This window comes from Homo sapiens, chromosome 2, assembly GCF_000001405.40.
Source record: "Homo sapiens chromosome 2, GRCh38.p14 Primary Assembly".
NCBI lineage: Eukaryota > Metazoa > Chordata > Mammalia > Primates > Hominidae > Homo > Homo sapiens.
The window spans coordinates 235576062-235594063 of record NC_000002.12 but is presented as its reverse complement, the minus strand read 5'-3'; the positions used below and the strand labels follow the sequence as shown (position 1 = coordinate 235594063).

The following is an 18002-nucleotide window of genomic DNA, read 5'->3' as shown; positions in this document are numbered from 1 at the left end:
ACTAAATAAAAATCTTCATTAAACTTATGTATACTCTCAAATTCACCTTAGAATTTGATTGATTTTTTTTCCTTCTCTTCTTTTTCCTTTTGAGACAGGGTCTTGCTTGCTCTGTCCCCCAGGCTGGAGTTCAGTGACACAATCATGGCTCACTGTAGCCTTGAACTCCGGGGCTCAAGTGATCCTCCTACCTCAGCCTCCCAAGCAGCTGGGACTACAGATGCTCACCATCATGCCCAGCTAATTTTTGTATTTTTTGTTTTTAGAGATGTGGGTCTCACTATGTTGCCCGGGCTGGTCTTGAACTCCTGGCCTCATACAGTCCTCCCACCTTGGCCTCCCAAAGTGCTGGGATTACAGAAAGGAGCCACTAAGCCTAGTCCTTATTACTGAATTAGCTGTAGCGCTACACGATTTGAATACACATTTTTGAAAACCTCAAAGCCAAAACACACAGTAGATATATTTAAGTATATATCTATATACACGGAAAACATATTTAAGTTGTAGAGTTGGCAGGCATCATTTGTTTAAATGAAGCAAAAACCTCGAAGATTTTAACAGTTCATCAGAAACATTTAACATGTAAATCAAGCAGGAAAAAGTACCATAATCTAAAACAACTAAAATTAGATTCTGTCCTCCCCACCCAAAAAAACATACTAATATCACTGTAACTCATTCTGAAATAAATTTTAAGCCTTTGCTTTTGAAATCAGGAGGTTGTTCTGTTCCACTTTTGTTTCCTAAGCTCAGTCTCGGGTCTCTGCGTTAACACCATCCCTCCAGGGAAGAGCCTATTTACCCAATCCACTTGTTACCCACGTGCTGCAAGACAGAATCTCCTTGAGGGCTCAGGAAAAGCTGCCCGTCTGAATGCCAGCTTGAGAGCCACAGGTGATTCCAATTTACATCTCAGGTTGAGGGTGGCTGATATCAATAAGGATTACAGGCCCACAACCTGCATCCCTCTCCCCTCTCCCTCACTTCCGAGCCATCTCTCACCTGGTCAGGTGAACAGGGGCCTTCAGCAGGTCAGGGTCACCTAACGCTCATTTCAGAAGCTCAGCAGCCCTCCCGGCCACCGTCCCAGCCACCGATCATCCTTAACTGAAGCTGTCAGACAGCCTCTCCTTATTTTGAGATGCCAGGTGTCTCCCTGAGACACCAGTGTTCCTGGAAACTGTGCAGCAGCTGATCCCCACCTCCATCTTCCATTTCCCAAGGGGTGCTCTCTTCTCCAGACGAGCAGCCACCCCGCACTCTCACCCTGCAAGGGCACAGCTTTAGCCATCACGTCCCCAAGCAACCTCGGCCAGATACAGGCTTTGGGACTGACACCATAACTAAGATGCGCCCATATCTCCATGTGCGACATCCAGCAGTACTGAGGTCTCCCCTCCCTGCCTTGACTCTGATATAGCTACTCCTGTTCAACACCCCTCCCGTGAAGCCAGCTTGGAATCTGCTCAAAACCACAAGAAAGGAAGGCCTGATTGGCTGACTCCTTAGGGAGAACCTCCAAGAGCTCATGCCACAAGCCGCAAGCCCGGAGTCAGCCCTAAATGAGCCTCTCCTGGAGCCCTGCCCTCCAAAACCCTGGAAAAGCGGGGTCCTCTCGTGGTTCTAAGCTCCTTCACCATCCTGCTCACTGCCCCCCAGAACATGGCTCATCTACTCCTCCTTCACCATCCTGCTCACTGCCCCCCAGAACATGGCTCATCTACTCCTCCTTCACCATCCTGCTCACTGCCCCCCAGAACATGGCTCATCTACTCCTCCTTCTGGCGCGTGGTGCCCAGAATTAAATGCAGCATCCAGGTGGCCAGGGCAGTGGAGGAGGAGCCTCCTTGGCTGCAGAGCAGGGATACCTAGCACAGCTCCTGGCCTCCAGCCACCCTCCCTCCCCAGGTCTTCCTGGCCACAGGGCGCTGTCCAGGCAAGCCTGGGCCCCTGGGAACCAGCGCCACTTCAATGTATGACTGTGTGAGTCTGTTCTTGCGTTGCTATAAAGGAATGCCTGAGGCTGGGTAATTTATAAAGAAAAGAGGTTTATTTTGGCTCATGGTCCTGAAGGCTATACAGGAAGCTGGTAGCAGCATCTGCTCTTGCTAAGGGCCTCCCAGAACTTCCAATCATGTGGGAAGACGAAGGGGGAGCAGGCATGTCACATGGCAAGAGAGGAGCAAGAGAGAAGTGGTGGGGGGTGGGGGTGGGGGCAGGCTCTTTTAAACAACCAGGTCTCTTGGCACCTAATACTGTATACTGTTGTGTAAAGGAAAATTAAAAACAAAACAAAACAGACCTCTCATGAACTATCAGAGCAAGAATTCACTCATCGCCAAGGGGATGGTGCTAGACATTCATGAAGGATTCACCCCCATGACCCAAGCACCTGCACTAGGCCTCGCTTCCAACACTGGGGATCACATTTCGAAGTGAGATTTGGAGGAGAAAATCATCCAAACCACATCAGTGACATCAGGCTGAAGAGGCCGTATGCTTATCCCAAACTCGAGGTCAAACAGTTGACTGCAGCCTGGGGCACATTTGCCTCTGTGGAGTCAACATCACACCAAGAGAAGGAGGGATTAAGCCTCTAAACCCAAATCCGTGCGCCTTTGTTGTGCATTCTGCCCAGGGCCACTGCGTTTCACACCAAGACCCGGGCAGCACATTGCTTCCCACTCCACTCCCCCTCGTTCAGTCAATTCATTCCCGTTGCTGTTTACATAACTTAAAAAACAGGGCTGGGCGCAGTGGCTCACGCCTGCAGTCCCAACAGTTTGGGAGGCTGAGGCGGATGCATCACCTGAGTCCAGGAGTTCAAGACCAGCCTGGCCAACATGGCAAAACCCCATCTCTACTAAAAATGCAAAAATTAGCTGGGCATGCTGGTGGGTGCCTGTAATCCCAGCTACTCGGGAGGCTGAGGCACGAAAATTGCTTGAACCCGGAAGGCAGAGGTTGCAGTGAACCGAGATCGCCCCACTGCACTCCAGCCTGGGCAACAGAGCGAGACTGTCTCAAAAAATTAAAAATATAGGCCGGGCGGTGGCTCACGCCTGTAATCCCAGCACTTTGGGAGGCCGAGACAGGCGGATCACGAGGTCAGGAGATCGAGACCATCCTGGCTAACATGGTGAAACCCCGTCTCTACTAAAAATACAAAAAAATTAGCCGGGCGTAGTGGCAGGTGCCTGTAGTCCCAGCTACTTGGGAGGCTGAGGCAGGAGAATGGCATGAACCCGGGAGGTAGAGCTTGCAGTGAGCCGAGATCACACCACTGCACTCCAGCCTGGGCGACAGAGCAAGACTCCGCCTCAAAAAAAAAAAAAAAAAAAAAAATGCACACACACACACACACACACGCACACGCACACACACACACACACACATTAAAACAAAACAAAACAAAAAAAACAGAAACAAAAACAAAAATGAGTGGCCTATCCTGGCAGGTTCTGTTATCTTTAAATTCGAAAAGCAGGTTGTGGTGGAGAGGGCAGTGAAAGGCATTGCTGGTGACCCCCAGAAGCCCTGTCTCTGGGCATGGTCACGGTTTCCAGCCTCCCGTCCCTTCCTGCCCACACCTGTTGATCAACAGCTTCAACATCCAGCCTCGCGGAGCTCAGGCCTCCTTCCATATCCCTAGGAGGTGCAGACACCGGGAATCTGTGCAGACACTCCCTGGTCAACTTGGCATCTGGCATAAAAGGATAGGCACCTAAAGGTTAAGAATATTTATCTTTGGGCAGAGAGCTGATGGGTGCTTACATCTGTATTTTAAGAAAGACTAAAAACTACTTTTTGAAGCTGGAGCTTTTAAACGTTAACACCGAGTAAAAACTCAGGGAGACAGTAACAGTGAGAGAAAAGAAAGGGCCGGGCGCGGTGGCTCACGCCTGGAATCCCAGCACTTTGGGAGGCCGAGGCGGGCAGATCACTTGAAGTCAGGAGTTCGAGACCAGCCTGCTCAACATGGTGAAACCCCCTTTCTACTAAAAACACAAAAATTAGCCAGATGTGGTGGCACTCACCTGTAATCCCAGCTACCAGGGAGGCTGAGGCAGGAGAATCGCTTGAACCCGGGAGGCAGAGGCTGCCATGAGCTGAGATTGCACCACTGCACTCCAGCCTGGGCGACAGAACGAGATACCATCTCAAAAAAAAAAAGGAAAATAACTTCCTACTCATTCCCAAACCCTTTCCTAAGAGGTGAGCCTCTCTCTCTCTCTCTCTAGATGCTCTGAATTCTGGCTACCCCAACTCAGAGTGAGTCCTGGCCGTGCTCTCCTGGCTACACAAACACTAAAATGACCACTGCTTCCTCCAATTATCTCCATTCTATATCTCTATCTATCTATCTATCTATATTTTTTTGAGACAGGGTTTCATTCTGTCATCCAGAATAATTTTAAAATGCAAAGAGAGCCTTCCCAAAGAGGACAAGCCACCTAGAGCGGACATGGTCCTCCTGCCCATGAAGAACCAGGAGTTACACTTGAAAAGTTCGGTTGGATGGGAAATTCAGAAATAAGCCATTAACTGGGACCAGCACTGGCGCGGTGGCTCATGCCTGTAATCCCAACACTTTGGGATGCCAAGGTGGGCGGATCACCTGAGGTCAGGAGTTCGAGACCAGCCTGGCCAAAATGGTGACACTCCATCTCTACTAAACATACAAAATGTTAGCCGGGCATGGTGGCAGGCGCCTGTAATCCCAGGTACTTGGGAGGCTGAGGCAGGAGAATCACTTGAACCTGGGAGGCAGGGATTGCAGTGAGCCAAGACCGCGCCATTGCACTCCAGCCTAGACAACAAGAACGAAACTCCGTCTCAAAAAAAAAAAAAAAAAAAAAAAAAAAACAAAACAATAAGCTATTAACTGGTAGTTCTCAAAATCTCCTTTTCTACCAGCATCGGGGCTCCTGAAACCTTCCAGAGGCCCTGAGCGCTGAACCCAAGAGGGACCAGAAAGGGCATTTCAGGGCCTCCCAGAGCAAGGAGCACCTGTGAAATCTGGCAGAGCTATTCAAGGTCAATAAAACACAGTTGTATTTCGATAGGAAAACAACTCAGCACGAGCACAACGAACAGTGGGAAATACAGACTGCTGAGAAACCTAGGGGCCAGGCAAAATTCTCAAATAAGCCAGGAAAGCAGGCCACTCGGGACCTTTCCCAGCCGGAAGATTCTTTAAAGGTCTCGTCAGTAATCACAATCCCCAACGTGCTGGGTAAAGGAGGCAGAATGGTGTCTACAGAGCTGACTGCAAATTTCAGTGAATAATGACATGTATGATATTCTTGATCTATAATTTACCCTAGTAATCTCCAAATCAAAGATAGATTTTAAAGGAACAGAAAGATAACCATTTGTGTTACTCCGTGAATTTAACAAAATTCAGAAATTTTTCCAAAAAGGAATTAGGAGTCAAAATGAATATGGTATAATTTCTTAAAAACTCAGCTACAGAAGACTGTTAACAGCTCTTTGAAAACCCAATTTTTTTTTATCCAGATTTTACTATTTGGAGGGGTTAAGTGTGAGAGGCCAGATATGACCAGGGTGTAGCAGCCACCGGGAGTCCTGGGTTCTAAGGGGTCTTGAATGTCTCAGCATCAAGGGTGAGGAAGGTGACGGTGCGTTGGCATTAAAGAAATGGGAAGGGTGGTTGAGTGTAGAGAAGTGGAGGAGAAGAAACCCTAGCCTTCCCTTTGTTCTGGTATTTTATCCCCAATGGATCCTGAGAACTAACTTCCCTGTAACAATTTTCATTTAACACTGGCAGAATGAAATCACTGATGCAAATGTGCATTTTTTTTTTTTTTTGAGACGGAGTCTCACTCTGTCACCCAGGCTGAGTGCAGTGGTACAATCTCGGTTCACTGCAACCTCCACCTCTCGGGTTCAAGCAATTCTCCCGCCTCAGTCTCCCGAGTAGCTGGGACTACAGGCATGTGCCACCATGCCCGACTGATTTTTGTATTTTTAGTAGAGACGGGGTTTCACTATCTTGGTAAGGCTGGTCTCAAACTCCTGACCTCAGGTGATCCACGCATGTCGGCCTCCCAAAGTGCTGGGATTACAGGCGTGAGCCACCACACCCGGCCACAAATGAGCATTTCTAAGGCTGCCAGATGACTTCCCTTCCGTTCATGGGAAGCTGCAGGGACCGGGCAGGCGTGGAAGGAGCAGCAGGACCTGGAGACCCCTGTGGGGCTGAGTGTTAGCTCCTGACCCTCACACTGGCCTCTTAAGCCCGTACTTAAGTGAAACAGGTTGTTGTGACTTTTTTTTTTTTTAAGGCGGAGTTTTGCTCTTGTTGCCCAGACTGGAGTGAAATGGGGCTATCTCAGCTCACTGCAACCTCCACCTCCAGTGTTCAAGCAATTCTCCTGCCTCAGCCTCCAGAGTAGCTGGGATTACAGGTGCCTGCCACAATGCCCGGCTAATTTTTTAAGTATTTTCAGTAGAGATGGGGTTTCACCATGTTGGCCAGGCTAGTTGCAAACTCCTGACCTCAAGTGATCCGCCCACCTCAGCCTCCCAAAGTTCTGGAATTACAGGCATGAGCCACCGCACCCGGCCTGTTGGGAGACTTAAACAAAATGATGCATTTCCGGTCCTTCAAACAGCACCCAGCACATGGTGAGCATCCCGCTGCCCTGAGCTCGGAATCCCAGCCTCCCACCTATGGTTACTACAAGGAGGATGCGCAACTGAAAAGACAGCTGCTGCCTCTCAATCTCTGTCACTCTCTGGCTGTTTGCAGCTCCATCTGCTTAAAAGACAGGACTCCTCCGTCCTCCCCTCAGAAACTTGGTCCGACTTTTCCACCCAGAATGCTCTGCACAGAATGAGGAGACAAGAGGTGTTTGCTCAGTTAACAAGTGAAATCAACGTGAGTCTATTATCACCACCATGTTTCTGTTTGGGTAATACCTTCTCCATACAAATGGCTCAAAAACTATTCAATTCAAACCACTGACTCATCCATTCAAATAAGGATTTTGTGAGCATTTAAACTGCACTAGAATTAACTAGAGATGGAGCTAGACAGAGTAAATGTGTTTGTTTTCATGGGACTCAAAACTGCCACCCTAGTAATATTCTGCCTCTTGATCTGGTTACACACGTGAGTTCATTCAAGCTGTATGCTGACAGGCTGTGCATGGTATATGAACTACACTCCGACAAAACCCGTCCTCAAGAAAGCTCCCTCACTCAGGTCTTCCCCAGCCAACCGCTCCCTCCTGTCCTATCAGGAATGGGAGGATTTGTCCCCCAGACTATGTTTCCTCTGATGGAACAGCTTTGTCACATCTCTTAGTGGTCTGTGTTGTTCACACATAGAAGCCGTACTGTACGGGGCAGTCCTGCACAGTCTCACTCTGACAACCCAAGTTGGAAATGCTGCAAAACCAAGGCCCAGGACAGTGTGTGGATTATCACCAAGAGACCTCAGCCTGCAAGGGCCTTCAGGTCACACAGGCCTGTGCACAGCATCCTCTGGAGTCAGCCTCTGCATGGACATAAGGAGCACTCAAAATACTTGCTCGTGGCAGCCTTGACTGCTGTGAATCCAACACACCACATAACAGCTGCCTCCACCTTGCCTTCCACAGGGGAGTCCGAGTATTTGGGGAGGTCACAGCCTCTTCAGGCTCAACATCCGTCTCTTTCCCAACTCCACACACACCCAGGGGGTTGTAGCAGTGTGCCCACCTGCATCCTTCGTGGAGTGAGCGTGCAGAGGGCAAAGTGGGTGGTCTGGTCAGTGGAGAGTGCAGCGGGCTTCTCTCTCCTCTCTTCTGGATAACATGCCCGTATGGCGGGCTGAGGGCTCACCCTCTTTGTGTGTATGCGCACACACACAAGGTAGTGTTGACTTACACGGAGACAATGGCCGACCTAAATCCTTACATTTACTGCTTTTTCCAGGAGGCATTTTTTTCAGCCACTTCCCCAACTTGCATTTGACTCGCTCATGAAGCTCCTAAATCCCCTTCCCACTCAAGCCCAACACCAAGTCTGTTGCCAGAACCTGCCTAAATACACTTCTCAGTGGCAGCTGCAACCCTGAAACCTGAGAATTTAACTGATTTCTCCATGTAGTTTGGTTTGCAAATCCATGCAGGATTCACCGGGTTTTTAACAACTCACCTGTGCTCTCCAGGCGCTCCAATTAAACAGAAAGGACGAGACAGCCTTCATTTCGGGTCCGCGCAAAATAATGAGCCAACACAGCAGCAGAAGGTAAGACGGTGGTGGGTGGTAAAAGTTGGCGTGTGATTGGTTTGAATGCACCTGTTGGTTTTTACCTACAAGTTTTTCTAAAGGTAAAAAGTACATTTAAGTAAAAATGGACTCAAATTTCTGTGGAGCCTTAAGTTCCTCTTCCCAAACCTAGATTGAGAATCACCTATCCCCTGCAGATGATGATGTAAGGATCAAAATGAATGTAGAACTCAAAGAGACAAAATACTAAGCCTCAGAACACATTCAGGCTGAACAGTGGCCCCCAGAGATGCCCACAGACTCATTCCTGGAACCTGAGAGCATGTGGCTCCACGGGGCAAAGCCACTGTGTGCATGTGAAGAGGTGAAAGATTTTGAGATGGGGGTTTTGCAAGGATTCTGGATTACACAGGTGGGTCCAATGTAATCACAGGGTCCTTCCAGGAGGTCAGGGTCAGAGCAGGCCACGCAGCTACCACGGCAGAGGCCAGAGGGATACAGAGCTAAGGCCAGGAATGCAGCAGCCATTGAGGCTGGAAAAAGCAAGGAAATCGAGTCTACCCCACAGCCTCCAAAAGGAGCACAGCCTTTGATTTTAGGCCCGTAAGACCCATTTGGAGCTTCTGAGCTTCCGAACTGTAATAAATCTATGCTGTTTTAAGCCACTTAGTGTGTGGTAATTTGTTACAACAGCGATAAGAAATGAATCCACAGCCAAGAGAGGGAAAGACCAGAGCTAAAGAAAAAGGCCAGAGCTACAAGATATCCACAAGAGTCTCTCTCAGAGAGTCAGAAAGAAGGTTTCAAGAAGCCGGGGGCAGCAGCAGCAGCACTGTACCTAAGTGGGTAGGGGGGTGACGCCTAAAAGGAGTTTTTTGGTTTTGGGTTTTCTTTAAAAAAAAAAAAAAAAAAAAAAAGGTAATGACTTAGCCACGATACACGATACACAATAGCCAATGGCCTCCAAGTTTCCGCTGAGAAAACGAATAAAAGCAGAGACCACGTGGCAATGGGAGAGGGAGGAGTGAGCGGCAAACAGGTACTCAGAGGTTGTGGGTAACTGTGGGGAGGTTAGCACTGCTGTAATCAAGTACCACAAACCAGGTGGCTCAAACAGCAGAAATGTATTCCCTCGCAGTTCTGGAAGCCAGAAGTTCAAAAATCAAGGTGTCTGCAGGGCCGTGCTCCTTATGAAGGCTGGGGGAGGGGATCCCTCCTTGCCTCTTCCTAGCACAGCTTGCTCCGACCTTTGCCTCCATCGTGACATGGCCCTTCCTGCGTGTTGCTGTCACAACCTCCCTCTTCTCAGATGAACACCGATCACTGGATCAGGACCCACTCCAATCTAGTATGACCTCATCTTAACTAATTACATCAGCCAAAGACCATCTCCAAGTATGGCCACACACACAGCTACCAAGGTTAGGACTTGAACATACTATTTTGGGGGACACATTTCAACCCACAACACAGTCGTCCCTTAACCTTGTTCCTATAAGAACAAAGAGTGCAGAACTTAAATCATTCACTTGTTAATGTAATTATTACGTTCAATGACAGGCCAGGACACAGGCTTTCCCAAGGCCTTCTTTCTTCACAGATTTCCATGCAAAAAAAAAAAAAAAAGTGGTTTATTGAGGGTCATGCTTCAAGTTCTTAGTGAGGCAAGGCTGGAAGACAGCCTGATGTCATGCTCTGCAGAAACCCCAAGCGTACCATGAGCTACATCTGCACTCTCCAGGAGGCTGTGCCACTACTATGTTTTCAATCCTGATAATGCAATGTGGGCAATTCAACAATTAAAAACAGGCCCTGGCCAGGTGTGGTGGCTCATGCCCATAATCCCAGCACTCTGGGGGGCCGAGGCAGGAGGATCATTTAAGTCCAGGAGTTCAAAGACCAGCCTGGGCAGCAAAGTGAGACCCCATCTTTTTTTTTTTTTTTTTAAGACATGATCTCATTTTATCACCCAGGCTGGAGTGCAGTGGTACAATCTTGGCTCACTGCAACCTCTGCCTCCTGAGTTCAGGCAATTCTGCCTCAGCCTCCCGAGTAGCTGGGACTACAGGCGCACACCACCACACCCAGCTAGTTTTTGTATTTTTAGTAGAGATGGGGTTTCACCATGTTAGCCAGACTGGTCTCGAACTCCTGGCCTCAACTGATCCACCTGCCTCAGCCTCCCAAAGTGCTGGGATTACAGGCATGAGCCACCACACCAAACCTCTGAGACCCTATCTTTACCAAAAAAAAAAAAAAAAAAAAATTAGCCAGGTATGGTGGTGCATGCTTGTGGTCCCAGTTACACGAGAGGCTGAGTATGAGGCTGAGTATGCTCTCTTCCTATCAGGCCAACAACCACCGGCCTGAAGCAGCCGCATAGGTTCAAATGAGTTTCTCTGGTAAGATCACCATGGCTGGGGTTATATGGCAGTGAGACCAACGCAGGCAGGGGACCCGCACCTGACCCTGGCCCACTTGGAGTTACCCCAGAGTTACATGAGAGGCTGAGTAAGAGGATCATTTAAGACCAAGGTTCAAGGCCGCAGTAAGACATGTTTATGGCTGCTGCACTCTGGCCTGGGTAACAGAGTGAGACTTGGTCTAAAAACAAAAGCAAACAAAACAGGTTCTTACATTAAAACCCTGAGTTTACATTAAAACCCAGGCAGAGGACCCACACCTGACCCTGGCCCACTTGGAGGTGCCCCAGAGCCCCTGGCTTCTGGCTTTTCCCTTTATGAGTCAAGGACAAATGAAGTTTATTCTAGAAAATGCAGCTGGTCTGAAAGTGGCCAGTTTACTAGGGAACTATTTCAACTTTAACACACAGGGGTCCTTGGCAGGTTCCGAGCCAAATCCCAACAACATAAAATGAGTGGAAAGCAGCCTTACAAGCTTCCTCCCGATTCCGGAACACACTCCATCAAAGGCTCACCAAAATCCTTGCCAGTGCTGCCTCCTGGAGTCGGTCAGTGCTAGAAAGCACTTTAGGAAATGCAGCATAAGGCTGTGATGCCGGGAGGCTAGGACGTGGGACTCAAGTGCCAACTCCTGCTAACAGCAATGAGAGCCCAAGAAGGACCACGAGCCCCCTCTCTCTGACTTCTCCCAGGCTCCTTCGGCCATCACTCCAGCAGCTAAATCCTTCCTTCTGAAGTACACTCCGTGCTTTTGTTGTAAAACACTTTTAAGAAATATTTATAGGTCCTCCCCCAAAGAATCCTTCTTTTATATCTGAGAAGCTCAAAATGTGGCATCCCTTTAATCTCAAGGCACCAAACCTCAACACATAATTACACGCATGACCAACCAACCCCACGATCTGACTCAAGAGGGCTTCATCAATGCAATGAGCTCCCATGATGTCTAAGGGGACACCCATGCTTCTCAATGAGGCATTTAGGGCAAGTCGCTTCTACACTGTGTGGCTCCTGTCCAGCACACTGCAAAGGACAAGCAATCCTGGTCTTGGGCTTTAGTGACACCCTAAATGCCAGCACAAAGAGCCACACCACCTCGGCAGGCAGCACCACGCAGCGGGGTAGAAAGACTCAGCACACTCCTGGACCTGCCAAAGGTCAGGCTCAAGCTGGGGCAAGAATGGGTCAAAACCACAATCATGCGCTCCAGGGCTCACATCTGGTGACCAGGGGCCACCACTAGGATCCAGGGGTCTCTGCTCCTCGTATAGAGCAGACAGCCCCATAGCATCACTATCAACTCCTGCCTGCTGCAATCACGTCTTCCCTGGATGGAAGGAACATTTCATGTCTCCTAAAGACTGCGTTAATATGTTGGGTTGCTGAAGGACATCAACACTCAGGCCTTAAGAATTTCCTGGGGTGAACACAGAATAATAAAACCTCCCCGGGTGCTAATTCAACAATCATAGTCCAGTTTTCTTCTTCCAGGTTTCAATTTTTGACACCAATCATTGTGATGTTTGAGAATGTCCCCGTGACTGCAGGATCTCCATGGTAACCTTGTTATTTTCTTTCTTTCTTTTTTTTTGAAGATGGAATCTCGCTCTGTTGCCCAGGCTGGAGTGCAGTAGCACGATCTCGGCTCACTGCAACCTCCACTTTCCGGGTTCAAGCAATTCTCTGCCTCAGCCTCTTGAGTAGCTGGGATTACAGGCATGCACCACTACACCCGGCTAATTTTTTGTATTTTAGCAGAGACGGAATTTCACCACGTTGCCCAGGCTGGTCTTGAACTCCTGAGTTCAGGCAATCTGCCTGCTTTGGCCTCCCAAAGTGTGGGATTACAGGCATGAGCCACTGTACCCAGCCTATTTTCTTTTTAAATGGCCTCCTGGAATATATTTCCACCAGTTTCACACTCAATCCATTAAAAAAAAAAAAAAAAGAACAATATAAACAATCTTCTTCATGATTGAATTCTTAAAAAGCTGGGGACAAAGACCAAGCTGGAAGTCCTGCACCTCCACTGAACAGTGTGCAACCTCCAAGTCTCCATCTCTTTCACCCTCCATCTTTTTTTTTTTTTGAGACGGAGTTTCGCTCTTGTCACCCAGGCTAGAGAGCAATGGCATGATCTCAGCTCACTGTAACCTCTGCCTCCCAGGTTCAAGTGATTCTCCTGCCTCAGCCTCCCAAGTAGCTGGGATTACAGGCACCTACCACCATGCCCGGCATTTTTTTTTTTTTTTTTTTTTTTTTGCTTGAGATGGGGTTTCACCATGTTGGCCAGGCTAGTCTCGAACTCCTGACCTCAGGTGATCCACCGACCTATGCCTCCCAAAGCAGTCTCTGTTTCTTAAAAAGCCTCCACTCCACACCTCACGGGATTACTGTAAGGATCAGAGTGTGCAATAATATACACAAAAGTGCTTTGTAAACTGTCAAGCCATGTGGTAAACACAGCAGTCACAAGTTATTCACCATACAAGGAGCAGGGCCACATTACACCCTAAGGTCGAGAGCAAGAACCCACTGCTCAGAGACAGGATGATCACCTCTCATGCCAGGTCAGATAACATCCTCTCTAGATTTTTTTCTCTTTCCACCTTGAACTCAAGCTGTGTGATTTCATTCACTGTTGCAATTGCTGACTGTCATCTAAGTGCCACTGTCAAAACATTAGAGGCCAAAGAAGTCAAAAAGAACTAAACACAAAAAGATAGCTATCAGCAGGTAACAAAACCATTCTCAATAAACTCAGCTTCAAGAACTCCTGTACATGAAAATGCCCATAGTCAGGCACAAGTAGCTGTTTTTTCATATGTTAATGTCATTTATTCTAAGAGAGAAGCACTCTCAGATACACTCGACTCTACCTCTAGAAGACACTAGAATGGTGGAGTAGAAAGCGCACCCTCCCCAACCCTCCCTCCCCCACTGCCTCCAACAAGCACCGAGGGAAAAGCCAGCACTGCCACTGTGAAGGAGATGCAAGAAAATGAAGAAATCAACCCGACAAAATGTAAGCGGCCGGCACGTCTTCATTCTCACCACTAATGATGGGGAGAACAGTATGGCGGTTCTTCTCAAAGTCAAATACAATTACCTTTCCAAGCAACCACTCAGCTCCTAAGGATATACTCCAAAGAGGTGAAAATGGCAACTCAAGCAAATCCCTGTACACGCACGTTCATAGCTGCATGGTTCCCTGTAGCCAAAAGATGGACACAAACGCCCATCAACAGATGAATGAATAAACAAAATGTGGTCCCTCCATACAATGAAATATCATTCAGCTGTAGAAAGAAATGAGGCACCAATGCATGCTACCACCCTCGATGAATCTCAAAAACATTATATTAAGGGAAAGAACCCAGTCACAGAAGGCCACATGTTGTATGGTTCTGTTTATATGAAATGTCCAGAATGGGCAAACCCACAGAAACAGAAGACTGGCGGTCGTCAGGTGCTAGGGAGAGGGGGAAATGGGCAATGACTGCTGAAGAACATGGGGTTTCCCCTGGGCGGGGGTGATGAAATTGTTTTGGAACTAGACGGGTGGGTGGTTACACCATGTGGTGCATACGCTAAGTAAGTGTTCACTTTTTTTTTTTTTTTGAGATGGAGTCTCGCTCTGTTGCCCAGGCTGGAGTGCAGTGGTGCCATCTCCACTCACTGCAAGCTCCTCCTCCTGGGTTCACGCCATTCTCCTGTGTCAGCCTCCCGAGTAGCTGGGACTACAGGTGCCCACCACCACGCCCGGCTAATTTCTTTGTATTTTTAGTAGAGACGGGGTTTCACTGTGTTAGCCAGGATGGTCTCGATCTCCTGACCTCGTGATCTGCCCGCCTAGGCCTCCCAAAGTGCTGGGATTACAGGTGTGAGCCACCACGCCTGGCCAAGTGTTCACTTTTAAATGCTTAACTTTATGTTATGTAAATTTTGCCTCAATATTTTTTAACGACAACAACAAAAGAGCCAAGTCGCCCCCTGGGATTGCAACCCACAGCTGTATTGATCATGCCCAAATAAGGTTTGTTTTGTTTTAACAAAAAGGCTGGAGACCTCAGGGCATGGGAAGGACAGTGAAAGGTTACGTCACACCAGGAAGGATTAAAGCAAAAGTGTCGCCTGGTAAACTGAGCCCGGCTCTGCAGAAGCCAGCTGGGCATAAATAGAACTGCCTTTCATTTCTGAAGCCCTCAGTGGGCAGGGGCTGACACAGTGCGCCCTTATACGAAAGTTTTACGACAGTAAACCAGCCACAAAAATGAGCGCTCCACTGTGACACAAGCTGGGGAAGGCTGCTTCATGGTGATAATTTGGTTTCCTGGTTTTCTTTCCAAGATGATTCAACTGGGTACCTTTTAACTTTAGCCAGTAATAAGAAAACCCTTAATTCTTCTAAGACTTAGACTAGCAAAGAGAAAGAAACAGAAGTAATTCAAATTACATATCTATATCCGTCTGTGTGACTGACAGCTAGAGGGACAGGCAGATAGGTAGACAAAGGTAAAATTTTGACCCTCAACAGTGAAAAACTATTGGGCTATACACAAATGTTTATTTAAATAGCTTATTGTAAAAAAAAAATTTTTTTTTTTTTTTTGAGACTGAGTCTCGCTGTATTGCCCAGGCTGGAGTGCAGTGGCACAATGTCGGCTTACTGCAACCTCCGCCTCCTGGGTTCAAGCAATTCTCCTGCCTCAGCCTCCCAAGTAGCTGGGATTACAGGTGCACACCACCACATCCAGCTAATTTTTTTGTATTTTTAGTAGAGACGAGGTTTCACCATGTTGCCCAGGCTGGTCTCAAACTCCTGACCTCAAGTGATCCGCCTGCCTCAGCCTCCCAAAGTGCTGGGGTGGCATAAGCCACTGCGTCCAGTCTGTAATTTTTTAAACTGTGGCAAAATACACACAAAATGCATCATTCTACCCACTTTTAAGTGTGCAGCTCAGTGGCACTAAGTACATTCACACTGGCACATGCTTACCATCATTTTTAAAGGTCTTAATCATGTCACTGACTTCTCCCAGGACACCTGGGGGCAGGTAAGGGGAACAGGCATTGTGGTTCTTAGGTTGTAGTTTGAGGAGAGGTCAGGTCCTTGTCAACAAAGGTGTGGGGGCACAGTGCAGGTAGGAGACGGGCACCGTGGAGCTCAGGCTGGCTCTGACAGTGGCAGTTTCATGACATGGGGGGCTCAGCTCCAACCTTGGTGGCCAAGTCCTTTATAGCTCTACTGGTCAATGGTGGTCCCAGAACTGAGGCTCGCCCTGGAACTCTTGTCTCTGCTCCCAATCACGCTCGGACCCTCAGACCAGCAGGCAGGATAACAGTGGTACCCAGCTCCTCACGAGGGGAAGTCCTGATGGCGGGACCAGCACACGCAGGCACCTGGATGGTGTCGGGTGCGATCCAGACCCCCTGTGCAGACACTGCTCCCTTGTCTGCATCAGGAGCCTCAACAAACAGCCCCGCTCAGACCAGGCTCAGTGTTTGGTTTTTTTCATCCGTACAAAGGCGAACTATCAGGTCCCAGCGAGCAGACATGGGCCTTTTGTGCAGCGCTGAAGGAGGGATTACATTTCAGGAATAGCAAACCTACTCTCTCTCCCGGGGGAGGCCAGCAGACAAGCCTGTGTTGAATGCACTTTTTGTTTACTGGCTCAATCAGCCAAGCCTTCGAGGGGATGACGACACACACGTTCCACTCGGCGAATGTTCCGAATGCTCAGAGTTAACTGCCCAAACAAAAATAACCGGGGGAAGAACCATGTAGTCAGGCAGCCACACAGCCATGCTCCGGGCAGCAAGGGACTCTCAGCTCCCACCGACTCCAGCAAGCGACCAGGGACACAGGAGCTTCCGATCATTTCCAAACAAACACAGGACTCTGCTCCAAGCAGGCATTCAGCGAGAGGCAGTGTCTCATCTGGCAAAGGCTTTGGGCAGAAGGTCAAGAGAATGGGGTTTTAATCAAAACCCTAAGGCCGTGGTGCCCAATACAGTAGCTCCAGCCACAGGTGCTACTGAGCACTAAAATGTGGCCGAATTGAAATGTGCGATGAATGAACATTACACAGCACCACCCAAAGCATCAGTACCAAACAGGATTATAGCAAACCTCGTCCACAAATTCCAGATAATTGCAATGAAAGGATAATATTTTGGATATGTTGGATTAAACAGTTTATTAAAATTAATTTCATCTGTTTCTTTTATTTTTTCTAATGTAGCTAGTAGAAAACTTTAAATGACGTATGTGGCTGGCATTCTACTTCCACTGGACAGAGGTACAAGGGGGTTCAGGAAGGCCTGATATTTCAGGACAACAGAAATGCTTTTCTTGGTGAAGATGCAGAGGTAGAGTTTGGCATTTGGGGTATGGAGGGAAGATGGATACCTGTGGAAGGAGGGGAAGAAGCAGAACTGGCCAGAGAGAGGCTGAACTGCCAGGCAAACCTGAGGCCATCTCGCCAACCCAACAGGGAGCAATGGAGAGGCCATTAGAATTGTCCCATGATGGGTCCAGATGGCCCCACCTTTCTGCCCTTCACACCCTGGAAGAACAGTCACGGGAAGAGGGTCTGACAGGATGTACCCTTACGCTGGGCATCTCTCCATGAGGAGCTGCAGCTAATGATGCTCCCAGCAGCAGGGGCGACAGTCCTCCCTCAGAGGGGGCCCAGGCCAAGGCATCCCCCTCCTCTCTAGAGTTCCACCTTCTTGCCTGCGGGACTCGAACCTGCCCTCAACGGCCCCTGAGGTTCTAGCAGCCTTTAGGGCACAGCACGACCACTTGGGAACACTGCAGTCAACCAATACCTGCAACAAAGTTCTTAAAACCAGCTGCAGTGAGTCACCTCATTAAAATCAGGCAATGCTTCCAGCACACGGAGAGGAGATATTCCCCAAGCACCACCTGCCTGGTGACCAGAATATACCATACTCGTCAAACTTCAGGGGAAACAGCAAATGAGGACACAGCGCACTGAGAAGCACGTGCTGAGTACAACACACACAAAAATAATCAATGCATTAGCTTCTAGTGAACCAGGTTAACAACTTCTGGCCCCCAAACACTTTTATAGAAAAGACTGGAGAGTAAAACGAATATGGTGACTGACAAACTGGACAAAGACTCATAGCACAGAGGCGACCAAAGCCCCTATCCTACCTTTGCCACTGGGGAACCTGAGGCCCAGGGTTGCGCCAGGTATGGACCCAGCCTCCTGCCTGGTGCCCTCCCAGCCTGGTGGCTCCTCCTGTTGCAACCGGGCTCTGGGGAGCGACAAATCACCCACAGTTGGTCTCTGCCACACAGCG

The 18002-nt window shown here is 48.6% G+C and overlaps 1 protein-coding gene across 3 annotated transcripts in view, besides 1 other annotated feature; it reads right to left on the bottom strand.

The window, feature by feature from the left end:
• Window positions 1-18002, bottom strand: part of AGAP1 (ArfGAP with GTPase domain, ankyrin repeat and PH domain 1) — a 637751-nt gene that overhangs the window by 537730 nt on the left and 82019 nt on the right. The gene's annotated exons all lie outside the window — the stretch shown is intronic.
• Window positions 7698-8198: an enhancer, noted in NCBI's record as "H3K4me1 hESC enhancer chr2:236494510-236495010 (GRCh37/hg19 assembly coordinates)". NCBI's record gives its function as "activates a minimal SCP1, AML or CMV promoter by ChIP-STARR-seq in naive H9 embryonic stem cells {active_cell/tissue: H9 hESC(naive)}" and the evidence as "EXISTENCE:reporter gene assay evidence [ECO:0000049][PMID:30033119]".